This window comes from Homo sapiens, chromosome 19, assembly GCF_000001405.40.
Source record: "Homo sapiens chromosome 19, GRCh38.p14 Primary Assembly".
Classification (NCBI taxonomy): Eukaryota; Metazoa; Chordata; class Mammalia; order Primates; family Hominidae; genus Homo; species Homo sapiens.
Genome location: NC_000019.10, coordinates 36,140,008 through 36,156,299, shown reverse-complemented (window position 1 = coordinate 36,156,299; position 16,292 = coordinate 36,140,008). Strand labels below are relative to the sequence as shown.

The following is a 16,292-nucleotide window of genomic DNA, read 5'->3' as shown; positions in this document are numbered from 1 at the left end:
AAATAATCTTTGCTGGCAGGACTATGCTGAATCTCCTTAGGCACTCTCTAATCAGATGTCCTAGGTCCTCCCAATTCTTAGTCCTTTTATACCTGTTTTGCTCCTTTTCTTATTCCATTTAGTTTTTCAATTCATACAAAACCGTATCCAGGCGATCACCAATCATTCTATACGACAAATGTTTCTTCTAACATCCCCACAATATCACCCCTTTCCACAAGATCTCCCTTCAGCTTAATCTCTCCCACTCTAGGTTCCCACGCCGCCCCTAATCCCGCTTGAAGCAGCCCTGAGAAACATCGCCCATTCTCTCTTCATACCACCCCCCAAAAATTTTCGCCACCCCAACACTTCGACACTATTTTATTTTTCTTATTAACATAAGGCAGGAATGTCAGGCCTCTGAGCCCAAGCCAAGCCATCGCATCTCCTGTGACTTGCACGTATACACCCAGATGGCCTGAAGTAACTGAAGAATCACAAAAGTGAAAAGGCCCTGCCCCGCATTAACTGATGACATTCCACCATTGTGATTTGTTCCTGCCCCACCTTAACTGAGTGATTAACCCTGTGAATTTCCTTCTCCTGGCTCAGAAGCTCCCCCACTGAGCACTTTGTGACCCCTTCGCCCCTGCCCACCAGAGCACAACCCCCTTTGACAGTAATTTTCCATTACCTTCCCAAATCCTATAAAATGGCCCCATCCCTATCTCCCTTCGCTGACTCTCTTTTCTGACTCAGCCCGCCTGCACCCAGGTGAAATAAACAGCCATGTTGCTCACACAAAGCCTGTTTGGTGGTCTCTTCACACGGACGCGCATGAAATAAACAAATAAAGAAAATGAAAGAAAAACAGGACAGGCACAGTGGGTCACGCCTGTAATCCCAGCACTTTGGGAGGCCGAGACAGATGGATCACCTGAGGTCAGGAGTTCGTGACCATCCTGGCCAACATGGTGAAACCTCGTCTCTACTAAAATACAAAAAATTAGCCAGGCGTGGTGTCGTGCACCTAGTCCCAGCTACTTGGGAGGCTGAGGCAGGGGAATCACTTGAACCCGGGAGGCGGAGACTGCAGTGAGCAGAGATTGCGCCATTGCACTCCAGCCTGGGTGACAGAGCGAGACTTCATCTCAAATAGAAAAAAAAGAGGCTGGGCGTGGTGGCTCACGCCTGTAATCCCAGCACTTTGGGAGGCCGAGGCGGGTGGATCACGAGGTCAGGAGATTGAGACCATCCTGGCTAACACGGTGAAACCCTGTCTCTACTAAAAATACAAAAAAAAAACTTAGCTGGACGTGGTGGCGGGCGCCTGTAGTCCCAGCTACTGGGGAGCCTGAGGCAGGAGAATGGCGTGAACCTGGGAGGCGGAGCTTGCAGTGAGCCGAGATGGCGCCACTGCACTCCAGCCTGGGTGACTGAGCAAGACTCCGTCTCAAAAAAGAAAAAAGAAAATTAAGACAGTCAAAACCATAGTATTAACTTGTTTGTTTTGTTTTGTTTTGAGATGGAGTCTCGCTCTCTTGCCCGGGCTGGAGTGTAATGGCGTAATCTCTGCTCAGTGCAACCTCCGCCTCCCAGGTTCAAGTGATTCTCCTGCCTCAGCCTCCGGAGTATCTGGGATTACAGGCACCCACCACCACGCCTGGCTAATTTTTGTATTTTTAGTAGAGACGGGGTTTCACCATGCTGGCCAGGCTGGTCTCGAACTCCTGACCCAGGTGATCCACCCACCTCGGCCTCCCAAAGTGTTGGAATTACTGGCGTGAGCCACAGTGCCTGGCCCCCATGGTATTAACTTTGTGTTAGAGAATCTGTGAATACTTGGTATTTTAAGAATTTGTAATATTTAAGGTAAACTGGCCTATTCAAATAACAGGTCAATCTTGTAATTCCATTGTAAAATGTGGAATTCAGCTGGTGACTAAGACTTACTTGAAATCTGTTTATGTACAGTTTATGAATTTTTTATTCATAAAAGTTATTTAAGAATTGAAGAAAGAGTCATCTGTTTATCTGGTAAGTCAGCTTTTTTTTTTTTTTTTTTCTGAGACAGAATCTCGTTCTGTCACCCAAGCTGGAGTGCAGTGGTGCAATCTTGGCTCACTGCAGCCTCCGTGCCTCTTGGGTTCAAACGATTTTTGTGCCTCAGCCTCACAAGCAGCTGGGATTGTAGGCGCCCATGACCACACCTGGTTAATTTTAGTATTTTTAGTAGAGACAGGGTTTTGTCATGTTGACCAGGCTGGTCTCAAACTCCCAGCCTCAAGTGATCCACCTGCCTTGGCCTCCCAAAGTGCCGGGATTACAGGTGTGAGCCACCACGCCCAGCCCTACTTGTGGCTCTTAAATGGAAAAACCTAACATTAAATTTACAAGCATAGTTTGAAAGTGTTAGGGGAATTTAATAATCATAAAAGCCCTCTTTAAAAGAGACCGTGGCTGGAAGCGGTGGCTCAGGCCTGTAATTCCAGCACTTTGGAAGGCCAAAGTGGGCGGATCACCTGAGGTTGGGAGCTTGAGACCAGCCTGGCCAACATGGTGTAACCCCATCTCTACTAAAAAATACAAAAATGAGCTGGGTGTGGTGGCGGGTGCCTGTAATCCCAGCTGCTCAGGAGGCTGAGGTACAAGAATTGCCTAAACCCAGGAGGCAGAAGGTTTCAGTGAGCCGAGATCACACCACTGCACTCCAACGTGTACAACAGAGCAAGACTCTGTCTAAAAATATAAATTAAATAAATAAATAAAAGAGATTGTTAAAACCTTTTACAAGCTGGGTATAGTGGCTCATGCCTCTAATTCTAGCACTTTGGGTGATAGAGGTAGGAACATTACTTGGAGGAGTTGGAGACCACCCTGGGCAACATAGCAAGACACTGCCTCAAAAACAAACAAACAAACATTGTCTGCTGGCTGGGTGCGTGGCTCACGATGAGGCCGGCAAATTTCTTGAGCTCAGGAGTTCGACACCAGCCTGGGCAACATGGTGAAACCCAGCCTCTACAAAAAATACGAAAATTAGTTCGAGCATGGTGGTGGGCGCCTGTAGTCCCAGCCACTCAGGAGGCTGAGGCAGGAGGATCGCTGAACCCAGGAGGTCGAGGCTGCAGTGAGCTATGACCGCACCACTGCACTCCAGCCTGTGCAACAGAGCAAAACCCTGTCTAAAAAAAAAAGAAAAAAAAGAAAAGAAAAAGAAAACCTTGTAGACTAGGCCAGGATCTTTCCTGGTTGCTAAAACCATTAGGACAACTGTGCTGCACCCCGTTGACTGCCAGAATTAGAGAGCTATAAATAGATATGATGTGTTTCTTAGGGTAACATAAAATACCGTTTTACTCCCAAAGACTTTAGCTTGTGTTTCCTAAAAACAAGGTCATTTAATGTCTCAACAAATCTCTGAGAAAGATCCTGCCTTAGCCCTCACGTTACAGATACGGAAACAGGCTCGGAGGTGCAATCTCTGGCTGTGTAGACAGAACAGGGAGTTGGAACACGGCCTTATGCGTTTCCTCACTCTCACATACCAGCGGGCAGGGAGAGATCCGGGGAGGAGTTGCACTTGCCCCCGGCGGAAATCTCCAAAAATCTGCAAAAATGTATTCCCTGGTACCGCTTTGGGCTCCGGTGGGACCAAGCGAAATTCCGAGACCGAAACGGATGCGCGCTGCGGCCCAGGGTGCGGGTCTGGACCGCCTCCTCCGTGGTGGACGAATCCGAGGAGCAGGACTCCCCGCAACCCAGCCCCAGCCCCAGCCCCAGCCCCGCCGCGTCCCCAGCTGTCACGCTGCGCGCAGCGGGTGGGGCCTGGGGTTCCTGGACAGAGGAGGACTACGCGTGTCCTTGGGCGGAGAAGGGAGGTGACTCCGGCGGAAGAGGACAAGGCAGAATGCAGGCCCTTCGGGTGAGGCCCCCATGGGCTGGGCCGGAGCCCCCCACCCAGAAAACCCCGCCCTAATACGCGACTCTCCAAGTGCCCCCGCATCTAGGGCCTTGGAACGTGAGCCACCTTCAGGGCCTGGGACTCCCCGCTAAACAGCCTGGGTCCCTTCCCCCACAATCCACTCTTCGGAGACAACTGGGGACCCCCACCCCGGCCCAAAGCCCCGGGTTTGAACTTGACATCTCGGGAACCCTTAACACTGGCCTCACCCGGGCCTTCTCAGGCAGCCTGGACGCTCCCGGGGACCTCCATTCCGGTCCCCACGTTCCCGGGACCTGGTTTCCTCCCTTTAATCCAGGAAACCCTCCCCCAACAAAAATCTCAGGACTTAGGCCCCCCAGAACAAAGTCCTTCTGGGTCCTCTCCCTTCCAGGACCCTCTAGGCAGCCCGGTCACCCCCAGGCCAGACTCCAGGGCGAGTCCCCTCCCAACCCAGCTGGCAGTTCGCGGGTAACAGAATCCAAGCTATTACCCTCCTCGCCTTTGGGACGCTCGCTAGGGATGGGGCTGTCCCCACGTCCAGGCCTCAGAGAGCGGGGTCCCACTTCAGGACACCCCTCCAGGTGCCTCCAATACCCGCCCACCTCCCACCCCGCAGGTGTCCCAGGCGCTGATCCGCTCCTTCAGCTCCACCGCCCGGAACCGCTTTCAGAACCGAGTGCGCGAGAAACAGAAGCTCTTCCAGGTGGGGGGTCGGGGGGGGTGGGGATCCGACGCGCCAGCCGGGAGCGCGCCGAGCCGGGGCAGGCGGGGCGCGCTCTAAGGAGCAGCCAGCACCCCTTTCTCATCAGACACCCCCACATCCAGGAGGACAATGACATCCCGTTGTACCTGAAGGGCGGCATCGTTGACAACATCCTGTACCGAGTGACAATGACGCTGTGTCTGGGCGGTGAGCGCAGGGCCCGTCTGGGCTGCGGGGGAGGCGGGGCTGGACCCAGAGTAAGAGGTGGCTGGTTTCTGGGCAGGACTGACCAGGATCTGGGTTGGGGGTTGGCGTTTAGGAAGGGGGTCGAGTACTGAGCTGGAGTCAGGCCTGCAGGGAGGGGAGTAACTAGGGTTTGGGCTCTTGTCCCAGGACGGGGGCTGGGTTAGTGGTGGGGCTGAGGCCCAGGGAGGAGTCGGGGAGAAAGCTCCCAGCCCGGTCTAGATCAAAGCCAGGGGGCTTTACAATAGGAGTCCAATCTGGGAAGGGAGCTGGAGTCCGAACTAGAGCTGGGGTCCAGGCTGGGAACCAGGGAGCCTGAAGGCCTTAAAAGCCTGGGATGTCCAGGGAGGGGATTAGGTCTCATTCTGTCTCCAACGCTTCCCCTTTCTAGGCACTGTCTACAGCTTGTACTCCCTTGGCTGGGCCTCCTTCCCCAGGAATTAAGACCAAGAAGCCTGGGGGGCCTGAGAGACTTGAACAAGTGTCAATAAACGCTGGCCTCTGTGTGTGTCTGTGTTTGTGTCCACCCCTCCCCACCAAGCCCATCCTCCCACCAGCCAGGGATCTCTGCCCTGTGGACTGCCCACTGCCCCCAGCCCTCGGTGCCTCATGCTGGACCAGGGATACTCCTAGGATGTTGCTACCTCTCAGCCCTCTGCTGAGTACCCCAAACAGCACCCATAGGCTCCCCCTCGGGACCCGGGGACGTGGGGTGGTGTCCTCAAGTGGGAAGGAAGACACTGAGCATGGTCCATGACACAACAGAGGCAGAGGCCAAGTGTGGATGGAGAAGCTGCAAGAGGGGCAAACATGGCCTTGGGGGACAGGGCCAGGAGTGGCATTGAGACCTCCCTCCAGCCCAGACTCTGGAAGCAGAAGCAGAGATCACTGGGGCTTCTGGGTCCTGTCTCAGCCTCCACAGCTCAGGATGAGACAAAAAATGCCGACGAGAAAAAGACGAGGAAATCCACGGATCCAGCCCTGGGGACGAATCTACTACCTCCCCTGCTCCCCAGGACCCAGAGCCCGAGCCACCCCTCCTCTCTCGGGTCAGATCAGGAGGCAGATCCCATAGAGATCAGCAACTGGGGCATGTTTATTTCCTCCTGGGCCTGGCAGGCTGGGAGCAGAATATAGACAAAGGCACTGGGGCACCTGGGTCTGGCACGGTCTGGAGCTTGGCCGCCTGGGTAGCAACCGTGAAGGGTGTGCCAGGGCGTGCAGGGACTGGAGTCATCCTCCCAGAACTGAGAGAGGGCCCTCGGGGCATGGAGGCATCACAAGTGCTAGGCTTGGCACAGGTACAGGGGAGAGGTTACGGAGTGGGTGTGTGCAGGGCCTGGTGGGAATGGGGAGACCCGTGGACAGAGCTTGTTAGAGTGTCCTAGAGCCAGGGGGAACTCCAGGCAGGGCAAATTGGGCCCTGGATGTTGAGAAGCTGGGTAACAAGTACTGAGAGAACAAAAGCTTGTGGGTCAGCAGGCCCCACAAAGATGTGACTGCAGACAGGATCGGCCCTGGGAGAGACCGAGGCTCCAGGTGACTCCTATAGCAAGGCAGTGAGGGGGCGGGTCTGGGGCTCCAGTTCAGGAATACATAGTCAGCTGCAGCCACTGGGGAGAGGAGGGTGGAGAGTGAGGACAGGGAACCCCAAGAGCACCAGCCCCTTTGCCCTCACCCAGGGACGGCTGGCAAAATAGGAGGAAGGGGACTGCAGCTCAGAGCTGGTATGAAGGGCTGAGGGGTGGGGTCCTCCCAGGCACCCATACCCCAATATGGGGGTCCTTACCTCCTGGATGTTCACCTGGATTTGTCCAGTGCCATCTTTGTCAAGAGATTTGAAGGCACCTGGAGGAGGAGATGCAGAGGTTTGGCGGCAGGGAAGGAAGGAGACTGGTTTTTGGCATAATAACATTACACAAATACATGGGATGACAATCATAGCAGCTGGCACTTCACTGAGTATTTACTGTGTGCCAAGCATGGGGTAAAGTGCTTTCCAGGTATTGGCTGATTTAATCCAACTCTGTGAGATAAGTGTCATTTTAAAATGAGGCACAGGCTGGGCGTGGTGGCTCACACCTATAATCCCAACACTTTGGAAGGCCAAGATGGGAGGATCACTTGAGCCGCCCAGGAGTTCGAGACCAACCTGGGCAACAGAGACCTCATCTCTGCTTTTTAAAAAAACTAAAAATTAAAAACAGGAAAAAAAGAAATGAGGCAGGAAGGGAGGGGCCATGCCCCAGGTCACATAGCAAGAAAGTGAAGAAATCAGGATTGGAATCCAATCTGTTACCCTCCTCAATAATGGCCTCTGTGTACTGATATCACCTCTGCCCAGCCCCAGCCTCCTACTGACATCTATGCTCCATCCTCTCCAGTTCTAAGCCTAACAGGCTACTAGAGGGAGGCTCTGCACACTCTACTTCCTGCCCCTAGAGTCTTACAGGTAGGTCCCCACGCCTGCCCTGAAACTTGACTCCATGTTCCCCACCCACAGGGAATCTAGACATGATGACTACACTATCTCCGCTCAGTTACCACCACCCTCAGGTGTCCATACCCACAGCGTCCTGCACACCCTGGCTGCCTTTCTTTCTTTTTTTTTTTGAGACAGAGTCCCACTCTGTTGCCCAGGCTGGAGTGCAGTGGCACGATCTTGGCTCACTGCAACCTTTGCCTCCCAGGTTCAAGTGATTCTCCTGCCTCAGCCTCCTGAGTAGCTGGGACTACAGGCGTGCACCACCACGCCTGGCTAATTTTTTTGTATTTTTAGTAGAGACGGGGTTTCACTATGTTGGCCAGGCTGGTCTCAAACTCCTGACATCAGGTGATCCGCCCACCTCGGCCTCCCAAAGTGCTGGGATTACAGGAGTGAGCCACCATGCCCAGCCCTTTTTTTTTTTTTTTTAGACGGTGTCTCTGTGGCCCAGGCTGGAGTCCAGTGGCAAGATCATAGCTCACTGCAGCCTCACCCTCCCGGGCTCAAGTGATTCTCCTACCTCAGCCTCCCGAGCAACTGAGACCACAGGCATGTGCCACCATGCCCGGCTATGTCTATATACATATATTTTTTTTTTTTTGTAGAGATGGAGTCCTACTACATTGCCCAGGCTGGTCTCAAACTCCTGGACTCAAATGATCCTCCCGACTATCAGCCTTCTTGCTGGTAGATCCAGTGGCTATTTCCTGGCCCCTCTTATGTGACTTGTGGCATCAACCTTGTCTGTCCACTCCCTTCACCTCCCTGCTATCTCACATACCTGCTTCTTTTCCTCTGTTACTTTTCATGCATTGTGGGCTCTCTGGAGGCCAAGGGATCTTTTTTTCTTTTTTTTTTTTTGAGATGGAATCTCGCTCTTGTCACCCAGGTTGGAGGCTGGAGTGCAATGGCATGACCTCTGCTCACTGCAACCTCCGCTTCCTGGGTTCAAGCAATTCTCCCTCCCTAAACCTCCTGAGTAGCTGGGACTACAGACACGCCCCCACGCCTGGCTAACTTTTGTATCGTTAGTAGATGCGGGGTTTCGCCATGTTGGCCAGGCTGGTCTTGAACTCCTGACCTCAGGTTTTACGCCCACCTCAGCCTCCCAGAGTGCTGGGATTACAGGCATAAGCCACTGCACCCGGCCTGGAGGCCAAGGGATTTTTTTTTTTTAAGACGGAGTCTCGATCTGTCACCCAGGCTGGAGTGCAGTGGCAGATCTCAGCTCACTGCAAGCTCCGCCTCCTGGGTTCATGCCATTCTCCCGCCTCAGCCTCCCAAGTAGCTGGGACTACAGGCGCCCGCCACCACACCTGGCTAATTTTTTGTATTTTTAGTAGAGATGGGGTTTCACTGTGTTAGCCAGGATGGTCTCGAACTCCTGACCTCGTGATCCGCCCTCCTCGGCCTCCCAAAGTGCTGGGATTACAGGCGTGAGCCACCGTGCCCAGCCGAGGCCAAGGGATCTTTCTAAAGCCAAACCTGACCCTGTCCTCCCTCTGCCTAGAACCTGCCATGGCTCCCCAATGTCTCTGGTAGAGTTTGAGCACCCCCAAACTTGGCACCCACAATCCTGCATGACCTAATCATGCTCACTGCTCCTACCTTCTCTTACTTAGCTCAGATCTCAGATAGATCCAAGTTCAAATTCTGGCTTTACAACTTCCTAGCTGGGTGACTATGAGCATGAAAATTTGCCTCCTTGAATCCTAAGTTCCTCCTTCACAAAATAAGGACAGTAATCCCCACTTCCCAGCCATGTCTTCAGCATTCAGTACACTAACACTCAGAAGGCCACATGCAATGGCTCATGCCTGTAACACCAAAGCTTTGGGAGGCTGAGGTAGGAGGATTGCTGGAGCCCAGGAGTTCAAGACCAGCCTGGGCAACATAGCAAGACCCTGTCTCTACAAAAAATTTTAAAAATTAGCCAGGCATGGCGGTGTGTGCCTGTACTCCCAGGTATTCGGTAAGCTGAGGCAGGAGGACTGCTGGAGCCTAGGAGTTGAGGCTGCAGTCAGCCATGATCATGCCACTGCACTCCAGCCTGGGCAACAAGAGCAGCAGACTCTGTCTCAAAAAAATAGAAAGAAAGAAATCTAACAAAAAGCATCAGAAGCCCCATCTTCTTTCCCTTCTAGGCCTTTGCACAGGCTGTTCCCTCAGCCTGCAACAGTATTCCCTACCTTCTCACTAAGTTCTCTCCTCATCCCCTCAGGTCTCAATGTTCCCTCTCCAGTGAGCCCTCCCTGACCCCTTGGGCTGCATCAGGTTCCTCCTGGATTGGATTTGCCCTCTAGGCTTCCCCAAGCACAATCTGAGCACGCTCTGCTCACTCTTCCCCTCACCAGAGCCCTAGACCCTCGGCCTGTGCTGCCCCCATCACAACCCATCACTCTGCCCTGAGCTTCCCCTCTCCCAGCCATCACCAGTCTGAACTGTCACTGTCTGGGGACTTGTGTCTCCTCCACCAGACTGTGAGCTCCATGAGGGCAGAAACTGGAACTGATTCAATCACCACTGTGCCCCTAGCATCGCCCACCTCAAAGTCAGGCTTAGAGGAGACCTTGGTCCATAGAGGTCATAGGAATCCCCACCCAGGAAGACAGCTGGGTTGTCACTCACGGAACATGGCGTCCAGCCTGACCAAGCAGCTGATGAAGTTGTCAAAATCCATGTTCCCACTTTCATCTGAGTAGCGTCGGATGATCATGTTATAGAGATGCTCATTCAGGTGGAACCCTAAGATGGATGTAGTCCTTCAGGTGCGGGGGCCACATGGCCCAACCCACTCCCATGCCCAGGAGTCAGGCCCAGACCAGCTGAGTAGAGGTTTTCTCACCCATCCCACTCCCAGCCCCAGCATGTCCCTGCCAGCCATACCTGCTGCCTCAAAGGCACCTGGGAGTTCACTACTGCAAATGGTCCCTGATCGGTCAGTGTCGAACTGTTTGTATATGGCCTGTGAGGACAGAGACATTGGGTCCAAGTGAGCATTGTGGGGCATAGTGTCTCCATGGCTTGGGGGTCTGGGTGCCAGGGATTTCAGAGGTTTCTACACACCTGCCACCTTTTGATGTTGTTCCACAAGTACTTGAATTCCTCAAAGCCCAGCTTGCCTGTGGTGTCGCTCTGGTGGGAGGGTGTTAAGAAGAGTGACAGCTACACCCAGATGCATGCATCACATGCACTGTGGACACGATGGTGATACAGCAAGCAGGGCAGCCAGGGCTGAAACTCCAGCTCCCGCTTGGTCCTAGTCATATCACCTGGTGTGCGGTTTTATTTTTCATTTTATCCATACATATTGTCACTTACATTTCTAAATAGGGATTCTCTTTAAACATAACCATGAGGAATTATATTCAACTACTCTAAAGTACAAATTCCTTGCCTGAAGAGTTGTTAATTGCTCATTCAGAAAATTCTTAATAGGCCACGCACGGTGGCTCCCGCCTGCAATCCAGCACTTTGGGAGGCCGAAGCAGGCGGTTCACTTGAGGTCAGGAGTTCGAGACCAGCCTGGCCAACATGATGAAATCCCGTCTCTACTAAAAATACAAAAATTGGCCAGCTGTAGTAGCGCACACCTGTAATCCCAGCTATTCAGGAGGCTGAGGGAGGAGAACTGCTTGAACCTAGGAGGTGGAGTTAGCAGTGAGCCAAGATGGCACCACCGCACTTCAGCCTGGGAAACAGAGTGAGACTCTGTCTCAAAAAAAAAAAAAAAAAAAGAGAAAGAAAAGAAAATTCTTGACAGTAACTCAATTTCATAAAAATGTTAGGATATGTGAAAAACAAGTGTGTGACCAGGCATGGTGGTTCATGCCTGTAATCCCAGCACTTTGGGAAGCCAAGGCAGGTGGATCGCTTGAACTCAGGATCCACCTGATGTCCACTCAGGAACATCACTTTCTCACTAAATCCTTGGGACACCAGTTCTACCAGGACTATTTCCAGAGAAGAAAACATTCAAAGCTGAAAACTCTACCCAAGATCATAGTTAAGAGCTAATGTGTACAGACCACATACTATGCGCTATACACTGTGCTAAACCTTTTGGATGTAGTTCCGATTCGGTATCACCATTATCACTCACCCATTTTACAGAGAGAGAAACTGAGGCACAGAGCGGTTCAATAACCTGGTTAAGAGGTAGAGTTGGGATTGCTTTGCTCTATGCAATATGTCTGTGATTACATGACATGTATATTATGTATGTGTCTGTTTGCCCTATGTGTTAAATGTGCATGAGGCCAGGCGCAGTGTCTCAAGCTTGTAATCCCAACACTTTGGGAGGCCAAGGCGGAAGGATTGCTTAAGGTCTGGAGTTTGAGACTTGCCAGGTCAATATAGTGAAAGCTTTTCTCTATAAAATATTTTTTAAAACAAAAATAAATAAAAATATGCATGTATCCAAGATCAGCTAATGGCTGGCCCATGTACAGATAACACGTGTGTCCCTGTGCACACTGCCTCATACACCTTCACGTATGTGGGTGTGCTCTTAGGTGTGTGTGTGTGTATATGCGCATGTGGCTGTTATAAACGTGGGTTCTCAAGCCCAAAAGACCTGAGTCCACAGACTGGAGTGCAGTGACGAAACCTCTGCTCACTGCAACCTCCGCCTCCCGGGTTCAAGCAATTCTCCTGCTTGAGTAGCTGGGACTCCCGAGTAGCTGGGACTACAGGCGTGCACCACCACGCCCAGCTAATTTTTGTTATTGTTATTTTTCTTTTTTTTTCTTTTTTTTTTTTTTTGAGACGGAGTCTCTCTCTGTCGCCTAGGCTGGAGTGCAGTGGCGCGATCTCGGCTCACTGCAAAGCTCCGCCTCCCAGGTTCACGCCATTCTCCTGCCTCAGCCTCCCGAGTAGCTGGGACTACAGGCGCTCACCACTGCACCCGGCTAATTTTTTTGTATTTTTAGTAGAGACAGGGTTTCACCGTGTTAGCCAGGATGGTCTCGATCTCCTGACCTCGTGATCCGCCCGCCTCGGCCTCCCAAAGTGCTGGGATTACAGGCGTGAGCCACGGCGCCCGGCCTATTTTTATTTTTATTTTTATTTTATTTTTTGAGACAGAGTCTGGCTCTGTCGCCCAGGCTGGAGTGCAGTGGCGCGATCTCGGCTCACTGCAAGCTCCTCCTCTCGGGTTCACGCCATTCTCCTGCTTCAGCCTCCCGAATAGCTGGGACTACAGGCGCCCGCCACTACGCCCGGCTAATTTTTTTTTTTTTTTTGGTAGAGACAGGGTTTCACTGTGTTAGCCAGGATGGTCTCAATCTCCTGATCTCGTGATCCGCCCGCCTCGGCCTCCCAAAGTGCTGGGATTACAGGTGTGAGCCACCGTGCCTGGCCAATTTTTGTATTTTTAATAGAGATGGGGTTTCACCATGTTGGCCAGGCTGGTCTCAAACTCCTGACCTCAGGTGATCTGCCCACCTTAGCCTCCCAAAGTGTTGGGATTACAGGCATGAGCCACCATGCCTGACCTTTATCTATAACTTGAGACAAATGACTGCTTCTTTCAGGAAACTGAGCCTCAGTTTCCTCTTCTGTAAAATGGAATATAATAATTGTGCCTGTCCAACAGGGTGGTTATGACGGTTCGGTCACTTTATATAATTAAAGTGCCAGCTGTGACAGCTGGCATTGTTATGATTTACCGCCACATGTCTGCAGGTGACTGTGTTCTGATGAATGCATTTCCACATCTGTGGATATGAAAGCTACATGTTGGCTTCCCAAACATACTCTCAAAAAACTCTCTGTCCACCCAGGGCCTCTCCCACACTGCCCCCAAGGATACATCCATCACGGCCACCATGCTGCGACATGTGTCAATGCCAAAACCATCAGTCTTCAGATCAGGGTCTGTGGGTAACAGGTTGAAAGTCAGAGGCCAGAGGTCAAATCCTCTCTGACCCCTCTGCCTCTGAATCTACCCTATTCCTTAACCCCGGTCACTTACGTCGTGTCACAACCTTATTGAGAATGTTCATGAGTTCTGTGGCGCTGACCTCCATGTCCTGCGGGCGGAAGTTAGGGGCAGGTCAGGGGTGACTGAAAGGGGTCTGAGAATGTCATGGAGAATGGGAACACTGGGATTGTCATGGTCAAGGGTGTGTGTGCAAGGGCAGCCACAAGGGAAGGGATGGAACGGTTAGGACGGGGCCAGGGACCCCAGGTTACTTACATCTCCAGCCAGCTGGGCAAAGAGTCTCCGGAACTGCCGGACCTCCTCACTCTCGTTGGCCTCAATGTTGGAGTAATGTGTGCGTGGGGGCTGCAAAGGGAGGAGAGCTCAGAGCAGGGGGAGGGGAACCCGGCCAGGACGGCTCCCCAAACCCAGGTACCCTGGGTGGGGAAGTCAGAGTGGGCTGGGCAGCTTGATGAGGAAAAGAATGAGGGGTGGTAGTGAATGGGGTGCACGTATGTGGGGCATGGCTAAGACCCATGGCGAAGCTGCAGACACGGCATGGGAGGAACTGGCAGAGGAATTTCACAAGAAGGGGAGGAAGGTGGGGCTTCTCTACAGGAACAGGGATGGGACCTCGAAGAGGCCTTGGCAGGAGAAGGGGGTCTGGTTGCAGAGGGGGCTTACCGGGGGCTCCGGGTTGTACTGCGCAGCCGCCTCGCTGCGAAGAGATAAGGGGGAGGGGTTAGTGCCAGGGGCGGGGCCTCCAACGGGCAGCACTACAGAACCATCAGCCCCAACGCTCCAGACCCCAGCCGTTATCTTCCTTACTTGGTTGCTGTGCCTTTCATTTGTTCTTGTCCTCATCTGTCCCAATCCACACTGCCCTGGTCGTGCCCCTCTTCTCCCTTCCTCAGGCCAACCCCACCCTCGAGGAAACCCAGAGACCGGTCCCCTGGGAGGCTCCCCTCCTGCCAGGCACACCTACCCAGTGGCAGATTTCAGTCATCTTGGCCACCCTAAACCTAAAAAATCCCACGTAGAATCAAAAGACCCCGCCCCTTGGAGGGCTCACTTCATAGAGGCTCTGCCCCAGCTTCCCAAGGCCTTATCCTCCTCAGGTGCCATCTGCCCAAGACCCTACTCCATGGCCCGCTTCCTAAATGCCCGTCTTCCCAACATCCTACCCCAGCCATTGGTCCCCGCCCCTTCAAGGGATCACTGCTAAGTGGCCGTGGCTAATTAAGCCAACCTGCCCTATCCCTACCAGGGCATTTTTCTCCATTAATCCAGCCAGTTCCCAGCAAGCCCAGCCCATTCTGGGCCATTTACCCTACCCCATTAGGTCTTGCTTCCTCCTGGGCTCACCTCCTCATTAACCCACCTAAAACCTCTGACCACACTCATAAGTCAAGCCCCTTCCGTAAAATGTCACTCAGACGCATTGGCTCCGCACCTTTAACGTTCATCTCCAGGTTAGCCAATGCAGGCTGAGCCCAGACCCATAAGCCCCACCCGCCAAAACTCCACATCAGTCCCCTCAGGACCACATTGTCCTGGTCCCACACAATCAGACTACTCCCATATCAAGCACCGCCCCCAATGACTGATATCCGCCTCACTGGGGTCCACCCCCTTACAGCAGAACTCTCAAACCAGGCCTCCCCGGCCTAATTCATGTACCCAGGTTAGCCTCCAGGTTAATCCTATTCTATTTTTAGACCACGCCCCTCCCAGACCACGCCTCACTGAGGCTCCTCCCATTCCCAGGCCCCGCCCCTCTGATAGTCTCCGCCTTACCTGATGGCGCTGATGACTCCGCCTAGGATGCGCATGGCCGTTCCACCGCCACCGCCGCCTCCACCACCGCCGCCGCCGCCGCCGCCGCCGCCGCCGCCCCCGGCCCCGCTGATCAGGCCTCCAAGCACATTTCCCAGGCCCCCACCCAGGCCCCCGCCTCCCCCGCCGCCGCCGCCGCCGCCCTTCAAGAACGAGTTAACCAGGAACATGGCTGCGACTCACTGCTGGGGGGAAAAAAGGGGACCAGTGGGTGCTTCGCCCCTGAGCCCACACCCTCCCTTCAAACACGCATTTCCGGCAGCTGGACCTGGGAGGAATCTGAAGCCTCCGGGTGGGGGTCTGAGTTTGCGAGGGCGGGTTGTCCGCGGATGGGTGGGGCAGGTATGGGGGATCAGGTTTGCAACCTCCTCAGGTCTAAAAGGCACCCGTGGGGCTTGAGGGAGCCTGGACTGGGTGCACGCGTGAAGGGGAGGGTGCAGATCTGGTGGGGGTTCTCTTGGTGGGGACCCCAAGTTGGCGTAAGGCGTTCCCGACATGTCTGGGCGCTAGAATGTGAGATCCAGAGCCCAGCCTGAATGTAGAGGTCCTTGGCAGGTCATGGGCGCGGAGCAAACATCCACGGCCTAAAGGGCCCCAGGGCGGGGTTTAGGAAATCCCAAATGTGGGCTTGAGAATTTAGGTATTCCCAGCGGCAGGATTCCAGTGTCACCTCTGGCTCTGTGGGCTCGGGTCTAAGATCGTGGCTGTGAGCTCTGGGTTCCCGGACAATGGGGTTCCCCGCTGGAACTGGGGGCACAGATCTACGATCGCGGTTCAGGACACCCCAAGGAAGAATTCACAGGGTATCTCTGAAACCTATGGGCCTGTATTTTGGATCATGAGACAGAGGGTGGAGAAGGGTCCCCGGGACGGCATAAAAGGAGATCGAACAGGTCTGAGGGTTCGAATCTGAGACCATGGATCTGGGGGGCTCCTGAGGCCGAGACTTCACGGTTTCGCCGGGTCTGGGGGCCGCCAAAGTCGGAGTTGCGGGGTGCGGAGGGGGTACGGGCCGGGCGCTTACCGCCGCACACGTCCGGAGTTCTGGGAGTCGGTTCCACTGCCGCTCCCGGGCCTCCCGCAGCGTCCGGCTCCGGAGGGCGGGGCCGGTGACTCAGGCCGCAACTCTCGGGTCGGACACTGCACCGCGGCCCTGCTGTCGCCCGCGCGGTCC

The 16,292-nt window shown here is 53.7% G+C and overlaps 2 protein-coding genes across 8 annotated transcripts, besides 3 other annotated features; one reads left to right on the top strand and one right to left on the bottom strand.

Moving 5' to 3' along the window:
* Positions 226–957: an enhancer, noted in NCBI's record as "NANOG-H3K27ac-H3K4me1 hESC enhancer chr19:36646245-36646976 (GRCh37/hg19 assembly coordinates)". NCBI's record gives its function as "activates a minimal SCP1, AML or CMV promoter by ChIP-STARR-seq in primed H9 embryonic stem cells {active_cell/tissue: H9 hESC(primed)}" and the evidence as "EXISTENCE:reporter gene assay evidence [ECO:0000049][PMID:30033119]".
* COX7A1 (cytochrome c oxidase subunit 7A1) lies at positions 3,853–5,378 on the top strand. The gene is made up of 4 exons (NM_001864.4): positions 3,853–3,907; positions 4,545–4,631; positions 4,754–4,838; positions 5,266–5,378. Exons 1-4 carry the CDS (start codon positions 3,893–3,895, stop codon positions 5,316–5,318), a joined length of 240 nt encoding a protein of 79 aa, NP_001855.1. The 5' UTR covers positions 3,853–3,892; the 3' UTR covers positions 5,319–5,378.
* A 568-nt stretch (positions 5,379–5,946) lies between these two features.
* On the bottom strand, positions 5,947–16,234 carry CAPNS1 (calpain small subunit 1). 7 transcript variants are annotated; one of them, NM_001302632.2, is made up of 11 exons: positions 16,035–16,234; positions 15,080–15,300; positions 13,967–14,000; positions 13,559–13,648; positions 13,334–13,391; positions 13,172–13,236; positions 10,426–10,494; positions 10,246–10,324; positions 9,988–10,104; positions 6,664–6,722; positions 5,947–6,487 (listed from the first exon to the last, which is right to left on the bottom strand). In NM_001302632.2, the coding sequence occupies exons 2-11, from the start codon at positions 15,286–15,288 to the stop codon at positions 6,461–6,463; spliced, it is 807 nt and encodes a 268-aa protein (NP_001289561.1). In that variant the 5' UTR covers positions 15,289–15,300; positions 16,035–16,234; the 3' UTR covers positions 5,947–6,460. The 7 variants fall into 7 exon arrangements, with proteins under 7 accessions (NP_001289561.1, NP_001740.1, NP_001003962.1 ...); NM_001749.4 differs by having other exon boundaries at positions 15,080–15,303; positions 16,143–16,234; NM_001003962.3 differs by having other exon boundaries at positions 16,143–16,234.
* Positions 15,768–15,827: an enhancer, noted in NCBI's record as "active region_14519". NCBI's record gives its function as "activates an Ori minimal core promoter by ATAC-STARR-seq in GM12878 lymphoblastoid cells {active_cell/tissue: GM12878}" and the evidence as "EXISTENCE:reporter gene assay evidence [ECO:0000049][PMID:35858748]".
* Positions 15,918–15,967: an enhancer, noted in NCBI's record as "active region_14518". NCBI's record gives its function as "activates an Ori minimal core promoter by ATAC-STARR-seq in GM12878 lymphoblastoid cells {active_cell/tissue: GM12878}" and the evidence as "EXISTENCE:reporter gene assay evidence [ECO:0000049][PMID:35858748]".
* Positions 16,235–16,292: the final 58 nt, after the last annotated feature.